This window comes from Homo sapiens, chromosome Y (genome assembly GCF_000001405.40).
Source record: "Homo sapiens chromosome Y, GRCh38.p14 Primary Assembly".
NCBI classification, from domain to species: Eukaryota; Metazoa; Chordata; class Mammalia; order Primates; family Hominidae; genus Homo; species Homo sapiens.
Genome location: NC_000024.10, coordinates 997,239 through 1,014,808, shown reverse-complemented (window position 1 = coordinate 1,014,808; position 17,570 = coordinate 997,239). Strand labels below are relative to the sequence as shown.

The window sequence follows — 17,570 nt, the reverse complement described above, 5'->3', positions numbered from 1 at the left end:
AGGAGAGCGTCACATCACATACCCTGACCTCGAGAATGAATTCAAGAAATTCTTTTTTTTTTTTTTTTGAGAGAGAATCTCATTCTGTCGCCCAGGCTGGAGTGCACTGGCCCGATCTCAGCTCACTGCAAGCTCCACCTCCCGGGTTCAAGCTATCCTCATGCCTCAGTCTCCCAAGTAGCTGGGATTACAGGCACCTGCCACCACGCCGGGCTAATTTTTGTATTTTCAGTAGAGACGAGGTTTCACCATGTTGGCCAGGCTGGTCTCGAACTCCCAACCTCAGGTGATCCGTCCGTCTCAGGCTCACGAAGTGCTGGGATTACAGGCGTGAGCCCCCACGCACCCGGTCCAAGCAACTGATTTAGATAAAGGTTCCCCCGGCTCTCATTCTTTCTGACCCTGTTTTATTTCTTTATTTTTGTTTTCTTGCCGTCCTAGAGTGGGAAACGCTGATTTAAGCACCCGTCTTTGCAACTGTTACAGAATTGTCAGGTATTTAACGAAACAATGATCAGATCCCGTATTTGCCAACGAGAACATATTGTACAAATATAGACAAAGTGGCATAATTTACATCCCTCGTTTCAAGTAGACACACGATGAATTTTTCATAGCCTCTCAGCTTTGAACTCCATTATTATGGCTGGATACAATGATTTGTATTCTTCTCTGAAGTCTGTTTTCTGACAGCCACAGTCAGATATTTAGAAGGCGGCTGGTTTTGACAATTTCATGGGGATCATCCTAAAACTGTTTTTTTTTTTTTTTAATTTTTCTCTCCCACTGTGGGTGAGGTCGCGGAGGATGCTGTGTGACTATAAATTGTCTAATTTACATTGTGTTGATCATATATCTTATTTTATTTTATTTTATTTTAATTTTTTTTGATCATATATTTTAGAGATGGAGTTTTGCTCTTGTCACCCAGGCTGGAGTGCAGTGGCACGAGCTCAGCTCACTGCAACCTCCACCTCCTGGGTTCGAGCGATTCTCCTGCCTCAGCCTCCCGAGTAGCTGGGATGACAGGCACCTGCCAACACGCCCAGCTCACTGCAACCTCCGCCTCCCGGGTTCAAGTGATTCTCCTGCCTCAGCCTCCCGAGTAGCTGGGATTACAGATGCCTGCCACCATGCCCGACTAATTTTTGTATTTTTAGTAGAGATGGGGTTTCACCATGTGGGTCAGGCTTGTCTCGAACTCCTGACCTCAGGTGATCCACCTGCCTCGGCCTCCCAAAGTGCTGGGATGACAAGCGTGAGCCACCACACCTGGCCTTATTTTATTTTATGAGACAGAGTCTCGCTCTGTCACCCAGGCTGGAGTGCAGCGGCACGAGCTCAGCTCACTGCAACCTCCACCTCCTGGGTTCGAGCGATTCTCTTGCCTCAGCCTCCCCAGTAGCTGGGATTACAGGCGCCCTCCACCACACCCGGCTAATTTTTGTATTTTTAGTACAGACGGGGTTTCACCATGTTGGTCAGGCTGGTCTCGAACTCCTGACCTCAGGTGATCTGCCCGCCTCAGCCTCCCCAAGTGCTGGGGTTACAGGCGTGAGCCGCCGTGCCCAACCTGTGGTGTGATCTTTCTTTCTTTTCTTTCTTTCCTTTCTTTTTTTTCTTTTCTCCTGTGCTCATGCTGTATTACAGGAGACATCGTCTGTCTCCTGGCTGTCCCGCCATCCACACTCACGTCCCGCTGATCACCTGAGCGTGCCCCACCAACGGCGAATGCTTCAGACTCCGTCACAATCCAGGCCTGTGACAGTGGGGGTCCCCGGGTCACCTTGGTGTGGGCACTTAGCAATGAGAGAGAGGGATACTGGGGAGGGGGTCCCCTGACATCAAAACATATGACTGGATCGGCTGTGAAAGTGGTGAGGGTGCGGAAAATGTTGAACAACATTGAATATATATGCTTCTGTTTATATGGTAATTAAATATTTAATAATTAGTATTTAATTATCAATATTAAATATTCGTGATTATTATTAGATATTAATTAAATATTTAATTAAAATATAAACATTCATATATCTATATATCCATATATTTGCATATATCCATATATTTGTATATGCATATAGATGCATATCTATTGCATAGATATATATGCATAGCTATATATGCATATTGCAATGTATGCAATATAAAGTAGAAATATAAATAAATAGAAATATTGATTAAATATTAACTAAATATAAATTAAATGTTTAATTAATATCTAATAATAAACATTAATATTTATTTAATATTAATATTAAATATTCAATAATATTTAATATTAATATTAAATATTTAATAATATTTAATATTAATAATTAAGTATTTAATAATATTTAATATTAATAATTAAGTATTTAATACTATTTAATATTAATAATTAAATATTTAATTAAAATATAAACATGCATATATCTATATATCCATATATTTGCATATATCCATATATTTTTATATGCATATATAGCTATGCATATACATCTATGCAATAGATATGCATCTATATGCATATTGCAATATGTGCAATATAAAATAGAAATATAAATCAATAGAAATATTGATTAAATATTAATTAAATATAAATTAAATTTAATTAATATGTAATTCATTTAACATCACTTGATATTTTTATAATATAATATATAATAAACAACAAATATAATATAATAATATTAAATATAAATTAAGTATTTAGTTAATATTTAATAATAATTATTTAATATTTAATAACAACAATAATAATGTTTGATAATATTGACTAACACCGACGAGGGTTGATGGACATGGTTGCAGGTAAAAAGACGCACGATTCATCCGTGCAGCGGCGACTCATGCTTGTGATCCCAGCACTTTGTAAGGCTGAGGCAGGAGGATGGCTTGAGGCCAGAGGTTTGAGACCAGCCTGGGCAACATAGTGAGAGCCCCCCCGCCACATCTCTACAAAAAATAAAAAAACAGAAAGAGGCAAGATTCATGAAACACAGAGGGAGGGCTCTGTGATGTTCTAACGGTCTCAGCAATTCTGTGTTGAGCGTTTGCAAGAAGGGATTGTCAGTAAGTAGCTCAAACTATAGGGCAGAGGAGATGGATGCTTCGCTGAGGACGTCTTTATGTTCTTTTATATTTTTTACTTTATTATTTTTTTTTCTTTTAAGATGGAGTCTCGCTTTGTTGCCCAGGCTGGAGTACAGTGGCACAATCTCAGCTCACTGCAACCTCCGCCTCCCGGGTTCAAGCGATTCTCCTGCCTCAGCCTCCTGAGCAGCTGGGATTACAGGCACCTGCCACCACGCCCGGCTAATTCTTGTATTTTTTTTTTCTTTTTTTTTTTTTGAGACGGAGTCTCACTCTGTCGCCCAGGCTGGAGTGCAGTGGTGCAATCTTGGCTCACTGCAAGCTCCACCTCCCGGGTTCACACCATTCTCCTGCCTCAGCCTCCTGAGTAGCTGGGACTACAGGCGCCCGCCACCACGCCCAGATAATTTTTTGTATTTTTAATAGAGATGGGGTTTCACCGTGTTAGCCAGGATGGTCTTGATCTCCTGACCTCGTGATCCGCCCGCCTCGGCCTCCCAAAGTGCTGGGATTACAGGCGTGAGCCACCGCGCCCGGCCGCGGGAAATATTTTTACAGAACTTAGACAGCTTTTGTGATCGATTTTGCATTGAAAGAGTAATTTTTGAATGTTCCCACCATTAAAAAACTCACAGTGATAATAAGGAGGTGAGACGGTGGGTGTGTCAACGTGATTTAACCATTACACATTGCGCACATCGATGAAAACATAACATGACACCCTGGACGCATACATAATTATTTGCCAATTAAAAATAAAGTAGTAGCCGGGCGCAGTGGCTCATGCCTGTAATCTCAGCACTTTGGGAAGTCGAGGCAGGTGGGTCACGAAATCAGGAGTTCGAGACCAGCCTGGCCAACATGGTGAAACCCCGTCTCTACTAAAAATACAAAAATTCGCCGGTCTTGGTGGTGGGTGCCTGTAGTTCCAGCTACTCGGGAGGCTGAGGCAGAGAATCGCTTGAACCCGGGAGGTGGAGGTTGCAGCGAGCTGAGATTGCACCACTGCACTCCAGCCTGGGTGACAGAGCGAGACCCCATCTCAAAATTTAATTTTGTATTTTTAGTAGAGACAGGGTTTCTCCATGTTGGCCAGGCTGGTCTCAAACTCCTGACCTCAGATGAGATGAGTCTGGGCATGGTGGCTCATGCCTGTAATCCCAGCACTTTGGGAGGCCAAGGTGGACAGACCACCTGAGGTGTGGTGCCATTTCACTCCAGCCTGGGCAACAGAGCGAGACTCCATCTCAAAAAAAAAAAAAAAAAGCTTCCAAAGGCAGTTCTCCTGAAAGCGTCTCCAAAAATCCAAGATGACAGATTTGGATCGTTTTAAAGTGGCTGAGGAAGAGAACTGCTTGAACCCAGGAGATGGGGGTTGCAGTGAGCTGCGACTGTGCCACTGCACTCCAGCCTGGGTGACAGAGCAAGACTCCATCTCAAAAAGGAACACCACCACCAAAAAAACAAGAAAACACACGGTGATAATAGGTAGGTGAGGTGGCAGGTGCGTTAACTTGATTTAATCCTTCCCACATTGATGAAAACATATCGTTATACCCTAAACACATACATAATTATTATTTGCCAATTAAAAATAAAAGATTAACCTTCTCGCCTAAGGCTGCCAACATGGTGTTCAGGGAGTTCGTGGAGGTTGCCCGGGTGGCCTACGTCTGCTTTGGACCTCATGCTGGAAAACCGGTCGCGACTACAGATGTTATTGATGGGAAGAGGGCTTTGGTTGATGGACCGTGCACTCAAAGGAGGAGACAGGCCATGCCTTTCAAGCACAGGCAGCTCACAGATTTCCTCCTCAAGCTTCCACACCGCGCCCGCCAGAGGTACGTCCGACAGGCCTGGCAGAAGCTACACATCAACACAGAATGGGCAGCCAGACGAGGGGCCAAGAAGATGGAAGCCAGAGAAAGGAAAGGCAAAATGACACAGTTCAATCGTTTTAAAGTTATGCAAGCAAAGAACATGGGAACACAACCATCAGGAATGAAATGAAGAAGCTTCAAGACCCCGGGCACAATGGCTCACGCCTGTAATCCCAGCACTTTGGGAGGCCGAGGCGGGTGGATCACCTGGGGTCAGGAGTTCGAGACCAGCCTGGCCAACATGGTGAAACCCCGTCTCTACTAAAAATACAAAAATGAGCTGGGCGTGGTGGCGGGTGCCTGTAATCCCAGCTACTCGGGAGGCTGAGGCAGGAGAATCGCTTAAACCGGGAGGCAGAGGTTGCAGTGAACTGAGATGGTGCCATTGCACTCCAGCCTGGGTGACAGAGCAAGACTCCATCTCAAAAAAAAGAAGCTTCGAAAGGCAGCTCTCCTGAAAGCTTCTCCAAAAAGCCAAGACGACAGATTTGGATCATTTTAAAGTTATGAAGGCAAAGAAAATGAGGAACAGAATTATCGAGAATAAAGTTAAGACGCTTCAAAAGGCAGCCCTCCTGAAAGCTTCTTCCAAAAAGGCACCTGCTGCTAAGGGGTACGGCTGCAGCTGCAGCTGCTGGTAAAGTTCCAGCGAAAAAGATGACCGCCGTGCGTAAGAAGGCTACAGCCCAGAAGATTCTTTCCCAGAAAGCCGCAGGCCAGAAGGCAGCGCCTGCTCCAAAAGTTCAGAGGACTCAAAAACTCCAGCTCCTAAAATAGAAGAAACACCTGCCAAGTAGAGTAAGAAGATGGTTACGTCCAGAGAGGCACCTGCTCCAAAAGTTCAGAGGACTCAAAAACTCCAGCTACTAAAATAGAAGAAACACCTGCCAAGTAGAGTGAGAAGACGGTTACATCCACAGAGGCACCTGCTCCAAAAGCTCAGAAGGGTCAAAAAGCTCCAGCTCCGGCCAGGCACGTTGGCTCACGCCTGTAATCCCAGCACTTTGGGAGGCTGAGGTGGGAGGATCTCTTGAGATCAGGAGTTCAAGACCAGCCTGGCCAACATGGTGAAACCCCATCTCTACTAAAAATACAAAAATTAGCCAGGCGTGGTGGCAGGTGCCTGTAATCCCAGCTACTCGGGAGGCTGAGGCAGGAGAATCGCTTGAACCTGGGAGGCGGAGGTTGCGGTGAGCCGAGTTCGTGCCACTGCACTCCAGCCTGGGCGACAGAGTGAGACTCCCTCTCAACAAAACAAAACAACAACAAAAAAGGCTCCAGCTCTAAAATAGAAGAAACACCTGCCACAGAGGCTCCCGCTCCAAAGGCATGTGGCAACAAAGCATAAGAGGCAATTATAGAAAGTAATAAAGGTTCTTTTTGACATGCTGGCAAATCTAAAAAATAGTAATAATGAAAAATAAATAAAATATTAGGAAAACTTATTACAGTTTTATGACCTGCTTTTTCTTCTCTTAGAACTATATTAAAAATATGTTTGTGTGTTAAAAAAGAAAACCAGAAAAGAAAAGCAGAGAATGTGCTTCTAAAAAAAGAAACATTCGTTATGACCCTGGCGGGTGTGAATGAAGCTACCTGGGGCTCAACCACTACCCGAGGGCTGAGTTGTGAGGTGGGACAGGCACCTTTTTTGTCTTTATAAAAAGCAAGATTGACCAGGCGCAGTGGCTCACGCCTGTAATCCTGGCACTTTGGGAGTCTGAGGCGGGTGGATCACTTGAGGTCAGGAGTTCGAGACCAGCCTGGCCAACATGGTGAAACCCCGTCTCTACTAAAAATACAAAAATTAGCAGGGTGTGATGGTGGGCGCCTGTCATCCCAGCTACTGGTGGGGCTGAGGCAGAAGAATCGCTTGAACCCGGGAGGCGGAGGTTGTAGTGAGCCGAGATCATGCCATTGCACTCCAGCCTGGGGGACGGAGGAAGACTCCATCTCAAATTAAAAAAAAAAAAGAAGGATCAGGGTATTTTTCCGTCCTTAAGCCCAGGTAGGACTCAGTAAGTTCCCCTATCTGTATGTACATGCGTCTGACTACTTATGAAATGTTGCCATGTTGTGTTAATCACACCGTTGTTGGATTTCTCTTGATTTTTATTTTTAGACAACAGGGTCCCCGTCACCCAGGCTGGAGTGCAGAGGCTCAGTCACAGTTCACTGCAGCCTTGACCTCCTGGGCTCAAGCCCTCCTCCCACCTCAACCTCCCAAGTAGCTCAGATTACAGGCTCATGCCATCATGCGCACTTAATGTGTCACAGTTTTTGTAGAGATGGGGTCTTGCTACGTTGGCCAGGCTGGTCTCAAACTGCTGGGCTCAAGAGATCCTCGTGCCTCGCCTTGGCCTCCCAAAGTGCTGGGATTACAGGTGTGAGCCACCACGGCCAGCCGCTTCTACCTGTCTTTACCTGCACCTGTTTCTTTAAGATGTGGCTGCCGTGTTCATTGCAGACTTGCGGCATTCTCCTGGATTTTTCAAAATCATTGCAATAAATTATTACTTGTCTCAGTGACTCAGTTTTTGGCACCCTTTTGAATCTGGTGCCCGGCCAGACACAGGGGCTCATGCCCGTAATCTCAACACTTTGGGAGGCCAAGGGCAGTGGATCACCTGAGGTCAGGAGTTCGAGACCATCCTGGCTAACAAGGTGCAACCCCGTTTGTATTAAAAATACAAAAATTAGCTGGGGGTGGTGGCAGGTGCCTGTAATCCCAGCTACTCAGGAGGCTGAGGCAGGAAAATCGCTTGAACCTGGGAGGCAGAGGTTGCAGTAAGCTGAGATCACACCACTGCACTCCAGCCTGGGGAACAAGAGTGAGACTCCATCTCAGATAATAATAATAATAATAATAATAATAATAATAATAATAATAAAAAAATAAATCTGTTGCCCTAGATGAATGCCTCACTCTAGTCCCAGCCCTGAAAGTGACTAAGAATGTTGGAAGTTTGGTATCTACCCCAAATACTACTCAGCCATAAGAAGGAATGAAATGATGGCATTTGCAGCAACCTGGATGGAGCTGGAGGCCATGATTCTAAGGGAAGTAACTCAGGAATGGAAAATCAATCATCATTATGTTCTCATTTATAAGTAGGAACTAAGCTATGAGGACGCAAAGGCATGAGAATGATATAATGGACTTTGAGGACTCAGTAGGAGAGTTAAGCAATGAAAGGAATGAAATAATGGGATTTGCTGCACCTGTAAGTCCACCAGCCAGAAGGGTCAACCTGGAAAGTGCACCTGTATTTAAGAGTGGACATCCGGCCAGGCGCAGTGGCTCACGCCTGTCATCCAGCACTTTGGGAGGCCGAGGCGGGTGGATCGCCCGAGGTCAGGACTTCGAGACCAGCCTGATGAACATGGTGAAACCCTGTCTCTACTAAAAATGCAAAAATTAGCCCGGTGTGGTGGTGCATGCCTGTAATCCCAACTATTTGGGAGGCTGAGGTAGGAGAACTGTTTGAACCCGGGAGGCGGAGGTTGCAGTGGGCCGAGATCGTGCCGTTACCCTCCAGCCTGGGCAACAAGAGCGAAACTGCATCTCAAAAACAAACAAACCAACTAACCAAAAAAACAGCAGATGTCCACGTAGGATGGGGCAGGTGGCTTAACTGGGGGGTCCTTAGGCCAGTGACATCCGCCGTTAGGATGCATCGGAATTCATTTGACATTGAATGGTCAATTCTAATCAGATACCACAATGGCTAAAGTTGTGGACAGGACCTCGTTCCGCCTGGCTCCAACCACACACACACACACACACACACACGCACACACACACACACACACACACAAAGTGCATGCATCAAATAACTGAGGAATCTATTAATTGCTTATTAGGCAATGTATCATGTTGTCCCACAGAGGCCTGATTTGCTAATGAACCAGCCGGGACTCTGAAGATTTCAATTTGTACCCGATAAGTAAGCGAGTGATGATCCGTTCCGTCTCTATTAATGAGCCTGCTGGATCGTTACGGCTGAGGACTTTCAGAAGCTACCTCCAGTCATGTATTTGACGGCAGAGGAAACAGAGGTGGCTGAAATGATGTCTCTGAATATATAAACTAGACGGTGTCCGCCAGCCAGCTGGGAGGATGTCACACTCAGCAGCTTCTCCTGGCATCAGCCGGGAATACCGGAATTAAGGGGCTGCTTTTTTTTCTTTAAGTTTTTTTTTTTTTTTTTTTTTTTTTTTTGAGACGGACTCTCACGCTGTCGCCAGGCTGGAGTGCAGTGGTGCAATCTCAGCTCACTGCAACCTCCGCCTCCCAGGTTCAAATGATTCTTCTGCCTCAGCCTCCTGAGTAGCTGGGACTACAGGCGCCCATCACTGTGCCCGGCTAATTTTTTTGTATTTTTAGTAGAGACGGGGTTTCACCATGTTGTCCAGGCTGGTCTCGAACTCCTGACCTCGTGATCCGCCCACCTCAGACTCTCAAAGTGCTGGGATTTACAGGTGTGAGCCACCACGTCTGGCCTAAAGTTGTATTTTTTTTTGAGACAGAGTCTCACTCTGTCACCAGGCTGGAGTGCAACCGTGAGATCTCGGCTCACTGCAACTTCCGCCTCCCGGGTTCAAGCGATTCTCCTGCCTCAGCCTCCTGAGTAGCTGGGATTACAGGTGCCCATGATTACGCCCGGCTAATTTATGTATTTTTAGTAGAGACGGGGTTTCTCCATGTTGGTCAGGCTGGTCTCAAACTCCTGACCTCGTGATCTGCCTGCCTCGGCCTCCCAAAGTGCTGGGATTACGGGCGTGAGCCACCGCGCCCGGCCTCCTTTGATGCATAAAAGAAAACTTGATGCATAAAAGAAAAGGTGCATAATTTAAGGGTACTTTGTAAAAATCAAATCAGTTCACTTGGGATATCTGTCACCTTAAACATTCGTCTTCTCTTAATGCTAGAACCAGTGGAATTCTTATAATTTAAGAGAATTTAAGATTTAATATGAGAATATAATCATTATATATAATTTAATTGGTTCTAGCATAAAGAAAATACAAATATTTAAATTTTATTACATATATTTTATATATATGACTTAAAATATATATTTTATTATATATATATAGTATATATATAGTTTAAAAGAGCACCAAAAACTCAGTCATGAAGAAAAGTGGCCGGGCGCGGTGGTTCACGCCTGTCATCCCAGCACTTTGGGAGGCCGAGGCAGGTGGATCACCTGAGGTCAGGAGTTCGAGACCAGCCTGGCCAACATGGTGAAACCCCGTCTCTACTAAAAATACAAAAATTAGCCAGGCATGATGGTGGGTGCCTGTCATCCCAGCTACTTAGGAGGCTCAGGGAGGAGAATCACTTGAACCTGGGAGGCAGAGGTTGTAGTGAGCCAAGATCGTGCCAGTGCTCTCCAGCCTGGGTGACAGAGGGAGACTTTGTCTTAAAAAAAAAAAAAAAAAGAAAAAGGAAAGAAAGAAAGAGAGAAAAAGAGAAAGAAAGAAAGAAAAAGAAAGAAAAAGAAAGAGAAAGAAAGAAAGAGAGAAAGAGGGAGGGAGGGGGAAGGAAGGAAGGAAAATTAATAATTGAAATGATTTTGAAAAATCACAAGTCTGTGATGAACTTGTTGTGTCTTTATATATACACACGGAAAGAGAAGGAGAGAGACAGGTGTATAAACCGAGCAAGGAGATTTTTTTCCTGGTCAAGATTTTTCTGAGCTGGGCGCAGTCGCTCACGCCTGTAATCCCAGCACGTTGGGAGGCCGAGGCAGGTGGATCACCTGAGGTCAGGAGTTCGAGACCAGCCTGGCCAACATGGTGAAACCCCGTCTCTACTAAAAATACAAAAATGAGCCAGGCATGGTGGCGGGTGCCTGTAATCCCAGCCACTTGGGAGACTGAGGCAGGAGAATCGCTTGAACCCAGGAGGCAGAGGTTGCAGTGGGCTGAGATTGTGCCATTGCACTCCCGCCTGGGTGACAGAGAGAGACTCCCTCTCAAAAAATAAATAAATAAATAAATAAATACTGAGAACTTTTCCTTCTGAGGTATGAAGACCTGCATGACCAGGACGTGCAAAGAATCACCAGTTATACCTGGTTCTGTTGCATTGCAAACTTCACACCCTGTGTCTTGGACCACAGAAGGAAGGGACAGGGGATTCTTATTTTATTTTATTTTATTTTTTGAGACAGAGTGTCGCCCTGTCGCCCAGGCTGGAGTGCAGTGGCGCGATCTCGGCTCACTGCAACCTCTGCCTCCCGGGTTCAAGCGATTCTCCTGCCTCAGCCTCCCGAGTAGCTGGGATTACAGGCACCTGCCACCACGCCCAACCAATTTTTTGTATTTTTAATACAGACGGGGTTTCACCATGTTAGCCAGGCTGGTCTCGATCTCCTGACCTCAGGTGATCCTCCTGCCTTGGCCTCCCAAAGAGCTGGGATGACAGACGTGAGCCACTGTGCCCGGCCAAGACGAAGAATTCTGCAGAGCCTGCCCTTCTCTCTCCTCCTGCCACACTGCCTGGAGAGTCGTGGGTAGCTGTTCTCCTGCAGCACATGAGCAGAAAGGAAATATTCCATGAGGAAAATTAACTCCACACAGACATCTTGGGATGGGATTAAAATACCAAATACACTTGTCTGTCCTGTGCATGAAACGTAAGAATCAATTCTCTGTCCCAGGCATGTAGAGAGGGAGAGGTGGGGGTGAGATTCCACCGTGAGACTATTTGTTGTTTCATAAGGAATTTCACTGAAACCCTGAAACTTTTGATAGGTAATTACAGTCAGGAAGCCCAGCACATATGAATTTTATATTTACAATCCACACTGAGGTCACCCCACAAACTGCCTTCAGAAATGGGTTTGGGGGGTCTGTGTTATTAAAACTGAATTTCCGCTCCCGCTGGTATGGCCCGGCCGAGGAGAAAATGGGAACAGATGTAGCCGGGGACGCCTTCAGAATCTGGCTGTCCCCCGTCTGCCATCGCCATAGACACAACGGGATTTCAGCATCGTCTTCCGAGGGACGCGGGGAGGCCGGACAGCCAGCCTGGACGAGGAAATGGAATGACATCTCCTTCACCTCTGCTCGGTCGTCTTCTAACTCATTGCTGAAGTCATCCACTGCTGAACACTTAATTGTTTATTTAAATAGGATAACTCGCCGGGTGCGGTGGCTCACACGTGTCATCCCAGCACTTTGGGAGGCCGAGGCGGGCAGATCCCCTGAGGTCAGGAGTTTGAGACCAGCCTGGCCAACATGGTGAAACCCCTTCTCTACTAAAAATACAAAACTTAGCCAGGTGTGGTGGTGGGCACCTGTAATCCCAGCTACTCGGGAGGCTGAGGCAGGGGAATCCCTTAAACCCGGGAGTCGGAGGGTGCAGTGAGCCGAGATAGTGCCATTGCACTCCAGCCTGGGTGACAGAGTAAGACTCTGTCTCAAAATAATAATGATAATAATTAAGAAATAAATAGGATAACTATGCATCCCCATGTTCACTGAGGTGAGGAGATCAAGATATTCCTATTTGTATCTTGTAACTACAGCATTCTCTGGACTGTGGATACGGTTGTGGGTGGCCAACCCTGCCCCTCTCCTTCTCCAGGGTCTGAGTTTGAGCCTCTTTCTTCCATTCTCTCTTCCCCATGGCTTCTCCTGACTCCTCTGTTTGTCCGTTCTCTCTCGCTGCAACTTTTTTTGGGAGGGAGTCTCGCTCTGGAGACCAGGCAGAAGTGCAGTGGCATGATCTTGGCTCACTGCAACCTCTGCCTCCTGGGTTCAAATGATTCTCCTGCGTCAGCGTCCTGAGTATCTGGGATTACAGGTGTATGACACCATGCCCAGCTAATTTTTATATTTTTAATAGAGACGGGGTTTCACCATGTTGGCCAGGCTGATCTCGAACTCCTGACCTCAAATGATCCACCTGCCTCGGCCTCCCAAATTGCTGGGATTACAGGCATGAGCCACCGCGCCTGGCTTGCTGTTTTATTTTAAAGACAGGGTCTTGCTCTGTCACCCAGGCTGGAGTGCAGTGACATGACCACAGCTCACTGCAGCCTCCACCACCCGGGCTCAAGCAATCCTCCTGCCTCAGCCTCCCGATTAGCTGGGACCATTGGTGTGGGCCACCACACTCAAGTAGCTGGGACTCCACACTCCTGTAGTCCCAGCTACTTGGGAGGCTGAGGCAGGAGGGTGGCTTTTTTTGTATTATTTGTAGAGATTATTATTTTGTATTATTTGTTGCCCAGGCTGGCCTCAAACTCCTAGGCTCAAGCAATCTTCCCGCCTTGGTCTCCCAAAGTGCTGGGATTACCAGTGTGAACCACCACACTCAGCCGTCATTTTTAATTCTATTTCTCATATATGTGATTTTATTCTATTTTTCACATATTCTATTTTTACATATATCTATTTTTCACCCATATAAGTAAAACATCTCTAAAGCACACAAAGCATCTCTCCTTCCGCACAGACAAGCTTCTCATTTTGGGCGTGTTTGCACTGTGTAATTTTCTTTTTACTGTGATTTCTCCTTGCTTGTTTTGACTTTGTAACACTTGGTAAAAAATGCAATGCCTGGATCCAACGGGATGGGCATTTTCTTTTCTTTTTCTTTCTTTCTTTTTTTTTTTTTTTTTGCTCTGTCGCCCAGGCTGGAGTGCAGTGGTGCGATCTCGGCTCACCGCAACCTCCACCTCCCGGGTTCTAAGAGATTCTCCTGCCTCAGCCTCCTGAGTAGCTGGGACTACAGGCGCCCGCCACCACACCCAGCTAATTTTTGTATTGTTAGTAGAGAACGGGTTTCACCATATTGGCCTGGCTGGTCTCGAACTCCTGACCTCAGGTGATCCACCCGCCTCGGCCTCCCAAAGTGCTGGGACTACAGGCGTGAACCACCGCGCCCAGCCAAGAGAATGGGCATTTTCAAAGCTTCTGAGTTTTCAGCTCTGGAGGGCAGAAAAGCATGCAATGTAGAAAATTCAAGTGAGGTCTCCTTGTTTTAAAGAAAGTATTTCTGTAATCTTTACTGAAGTCGAACGTGTTCTGTTGATTCCGACCGTTTATCTTGTGCCGTTTGACTTTTTCATTGGGGGAAACTTCACGTTTGATTTGAAACACCTCCTTGTGTAGTAATGATGCTTTGGTTTAGAATGTATTTTCCACGTGGTCTCTGAACTTCCCTTTAATTTCGTAAATATTTTGTGACACACAGAAATCTTGGATTTTTTTTTAATGGAATGAATTCGAAAACCACCTCTGTCACGTTATAAACTCTCATTGTGTTACTTATTATTATTATTATTATTATTATTATTATTATTATTATTTTTTTTTTTCTGAGATGGAATCTCACTTGTCCCCCAGGCTGGAGTGCAGTGATGCGATCTCGGCTCACTGCAACCTCCGCCTCCCGGGTTCAAGCGATTCTCCTGCCTCAGCCTCCTGAGTAGCTGGGATGACAGGTGCACGCCAGCCACCCTGCCCGGCTAATTTTTTGTATTTTTGGTAGAGACCGGGTTTCACCGTGTTAGCCAGGAAGGTCTCGATCTCCTGACCTCGTGATCCGCCTGCCTCGGCCTCCCAAAGTGCTGGGATGACCGGCGTGAGCCACCGCGCCCGGCTATTTTACTTTATTTCTTCAGATGGAGTCTCGCTCTGTTGCCCAGGCTGGAGTGCAGTGGCGTGATCTCAGCTCAATGCAACCTCCGCCTCCTGGGTTCAACCAATTCTCTTGCCTCAGCCTCCTGAGTAGCTGGGATTACAAGCACCCGCCACCACGCCCAACCAATATTTTGTATTGTTAGTAGAGATGGGGTTTCACCTTGTTAGCCAGGCTAATGTTTCTACAGAAACATTTGGAAATCTGTGTACTGATTCCCAGATCTGAAAAAAAAAAAGTTTCTGCAGGGATTAAGGCTGTATTTTAATTTGGGAAATACTGATATATTTACAAAATGAAATCTATAAATCCCACAGGACCACAGGCTTCTCTATTTTTTTTTTTTTTTTTTTTTTTTGAGACAGGGTCTCGCTCTGTCGCCCAGGCTGGAGTGCAGTGGCGGGATCTCGGCTCACTGCAAGCTCCGCCTCCTGGGTTCACACCATTCTCCTGCCTCAGCCTCCTGAGGAGCTGAGACTACATGCACCTGCCACCACGCCCGGCTAATTTTTTTGTATTTTTAGTAGTGACGGAGTTTCACTGTGTTAGCCAGGCTATTCTCAATCTCTGGATCTTGTGATCCGCCCGCTTCTTAAAGCATTCTTTTTGTTCCGTTTTGTTTTGACAGTCTCGCTCTGTGGCCCAGACCGGAGTGCAATGGCATCATCTCCGCTCACTGCAACCTCTGCCTCCCGGATTCAAGGGATTCTCCTGTCTCAGCCTCCCAAGTAGCTGTGACTACAGACGCCCACCACTACTCTCGGCTGATATTTGTATTTTTAGCAGAGACAGGGTTTCACCATGTTGGCCAGGCTGGTCTCGAACTCCTGACCTCAGGTGATCCACCCGCCTCAGCCTCCCAAAGTGCTGGGATTACAGGCACCTGCCACCACGCCTGGCTAAATTTTGTATTTTTAGTAGAGATGTGGTTTTGCCTTCTTGGCCAGGCTGGTTTCGAACTCTTGACCTCAGGTGATCCACCCACCTTGGCCTCCCAAAGTGCTGGGATTATAGGCGCCCGCCACCATGCCCAGCTAATTTTTTGTATTTTTAGTAGAGATGGGGTTTCACCATGTTGGCCAGGCAGGTTTTGAACTCCAGATCTCAGGTGATCCACCCACCTTGGCCTCCCAAAGTGCTGGGATTATAGGTGCCTGCCACCAGGCCCAGCTAATTTTTTGTATTTTTAGCAGAGACAGGGTTTTGCAATGTTGGCCAGGCTGGTCTTGAACTCCTGACCTCAGGTTATCCACCCGCCTCAGCGTCCCAAAGTGCTGGGATTACAGGCACCTGCCACCACGCCTGGCTAATTTTTGTATTTTTAGTAGAGACAGGGTTTCGCCATGTTGGCCAGGCTGGTCTCGAACTGTTGACTTCAAGTGATCCACCTGCCTCAGCCTCCCAAAGTGCTGGGATTACAGGCATGAGCCACCGTGCCTGGCCAAAGCCGTCTTTCATTTGCTTCCTGAGTACCCTTCCTGAGCTTCCTGAGCAGGCAGGAAGAATCGCTTGGACAGTTATGGCACAGGTCACAGCTCTGTCACCCAGGCTGGAGCACAGTGACAAGGTCTCTGCTCACTGCAACCTCCGCCTTTCTGATCCAAGCGATTCTCCTGCCTCAGCCTCCCGAGTAGCTGGGATGACAGGTGCCCACCATGACCAGCTAATTTTTGTATTTTTAGTAGAGACGGGGTTTCACCATGTTGGGCAGACTGGTCTCGAACTCCTGACCTAAGGTGATCCACCTGCGTCAGCCTCCCAAAGTGCTGGGATTACAGGCTCGAATCACCGCGCCTGGCCCCTCTACTTTCTTCATAAACTTGCTCTCACTTTACTCTATGGCCTCGCCCTGAATTGTTTCTTGTGCAAGGACCAGGAACCCTCTCTTGGGGTCTGGAGCAAGACCCCTTTCTGGTAACAACACTGCCTTTGAAAAACCCCTATCTCTGAGCCTTGAGTAGGTACTCCGCCTGCCACATGGCATGGCCGGCCTTGTGTCTCTTAAATTCTTTGTCTACGGCAATGCTGTGAGTCTTTATTCAGCAGGCAGGAAGAACCACTTGGACAGTTATGCCACAGCTTAGAAGACATTCTCAGAGTCGCTGCTTGGAAAGTAGACTGGCCTCAGTGAAAATTCGCTCTGAAAGGGTAAGCCTGGCTCTAAGCTGTGAGCTCAGCAGGCTGGTGGTAAACATTGCAGCTGTAAATCCAGGGAGAGCTGTGTTACTGGCGGGAGAAGGGATTTTACAGCCCAGGGGAGGGAGGGAGATTTGAATTTGAAAGACTTTTGCACAAAGGACCCCGTGCCCAGCTGCTGTCCGCGGGGTCCCCTGCTTCTCTGAGCTTCTCACAATGACTCTGGGCCCCTGGGGACAGCCACAGTGACTTCTGAATGTTCTAGCGAAACCTGCAAAGGTCAGTTGGACGCCAGGAATTGTTTCTTGGGTCCTGCTTTTCCTCCAATAGGGGGCCATGTGGCTTTAGCTCTGAGTGTATTTGTGGTTGTGGTTAGTTATGGCGTTCCATTTGGGGGAACTGTAAAAGCGAAAAATCAGAGGAGGTGGCAAGGAACAGACATTTTGTTAAGTTATCAAATCTATAGCTGAGAGAAATTAATGCTTGTCTATTTCAAGGTCTCTCTGCCCAGGCTCTGCTGACATTTGGGGATGGAGGATTCTCCGCGGTGGGGCTGTCCTGGGCACTGTATGGTGTTGAGCAGAGACCCTGGGCTTCACCCACCAGGTGCCAGGACCACCCCCTCCCCAGTTGTGACAACCAAAATTGCCACCAGATATTGCAAAATATCTCCTGGGGGTAAAAGCTCTCTGGTTGCCATAGATAGGTAAGTACACAAGTAGATACACAGGGGGAGGGGGCAGGAGATGGGTGGATAGATGACTGATAGATACACGATAAACAGAAAGATGAGATAGATAAATAGATGGTAGATG

General features: G+C 46.7%; 1 pseudogene, besides 4 other annotated features; it reads left to right on the top strand.

Annotated features, from left to right (window-relative positions):
* RPL14P5 (ribosomal protein L14 pseudogene 5) lies at positions 4,709 to 5,089 on the top strand (annotated as a pseudogene).
* Positions 16,019 to 16,542: an enhancer, noted in NCBI's record as "H3K27ac hESC enhancer chrX:959002-959525 (GRCh37/hg19 assembly coordinates)". NCBI's record gives its function as "activates a minimal SCP1, AML or CMV promoter by ChIP-STARR-seq in primed H9 embryonic stem cells {active_cell/tissue: H9 hESC(primed)}" and the evidence as "EXISTENCE:reporter gene assay evidence [ECO:0000049][PMID:30033119]".
* Positions 16,543 to 17,067: an enhancer, noted in NCBI's record as "H3K27ac hESC enhancer chrX:958477-959001 (GRCh37/hg19 assembly coordinates)". NCBI's record gives its function as "activates a minimal SCP1, AML or CMV promoter by ChIP-STARR-seq in primed H9 embryonic stem cells {active_cell/tissue: H9 hESC(primed)}" and the evidence as "EXISTENCE:reporter gene assay evidence [ECO:0000049][PMID:30033119]".
* Positions 16,543 to 17,252: a biological region, named in NCBI's record as "H3K27ac hESC enhancers GRCh37_chrX:958477-959001 and GRCh37_chrY:908292-908926".
* Positions 16,618 to 17,252: an enhancer, noted in NCBI's record as "H3K27ac hESC enhancer chrY:908292-908926 (GRCh37/hg19 assembly coordinates)". NCBI's record gives its function as "activates a minimal SCP1, AML or CMV promoter by ChIP-STARR-seq in primed H9 embryonic stem cells {active_cell/tissue: H9 hESC(primed)}" and the evidence as "EXISTENCE:reporter gene assay evidence [ECO:0000049][PMID:30033119]".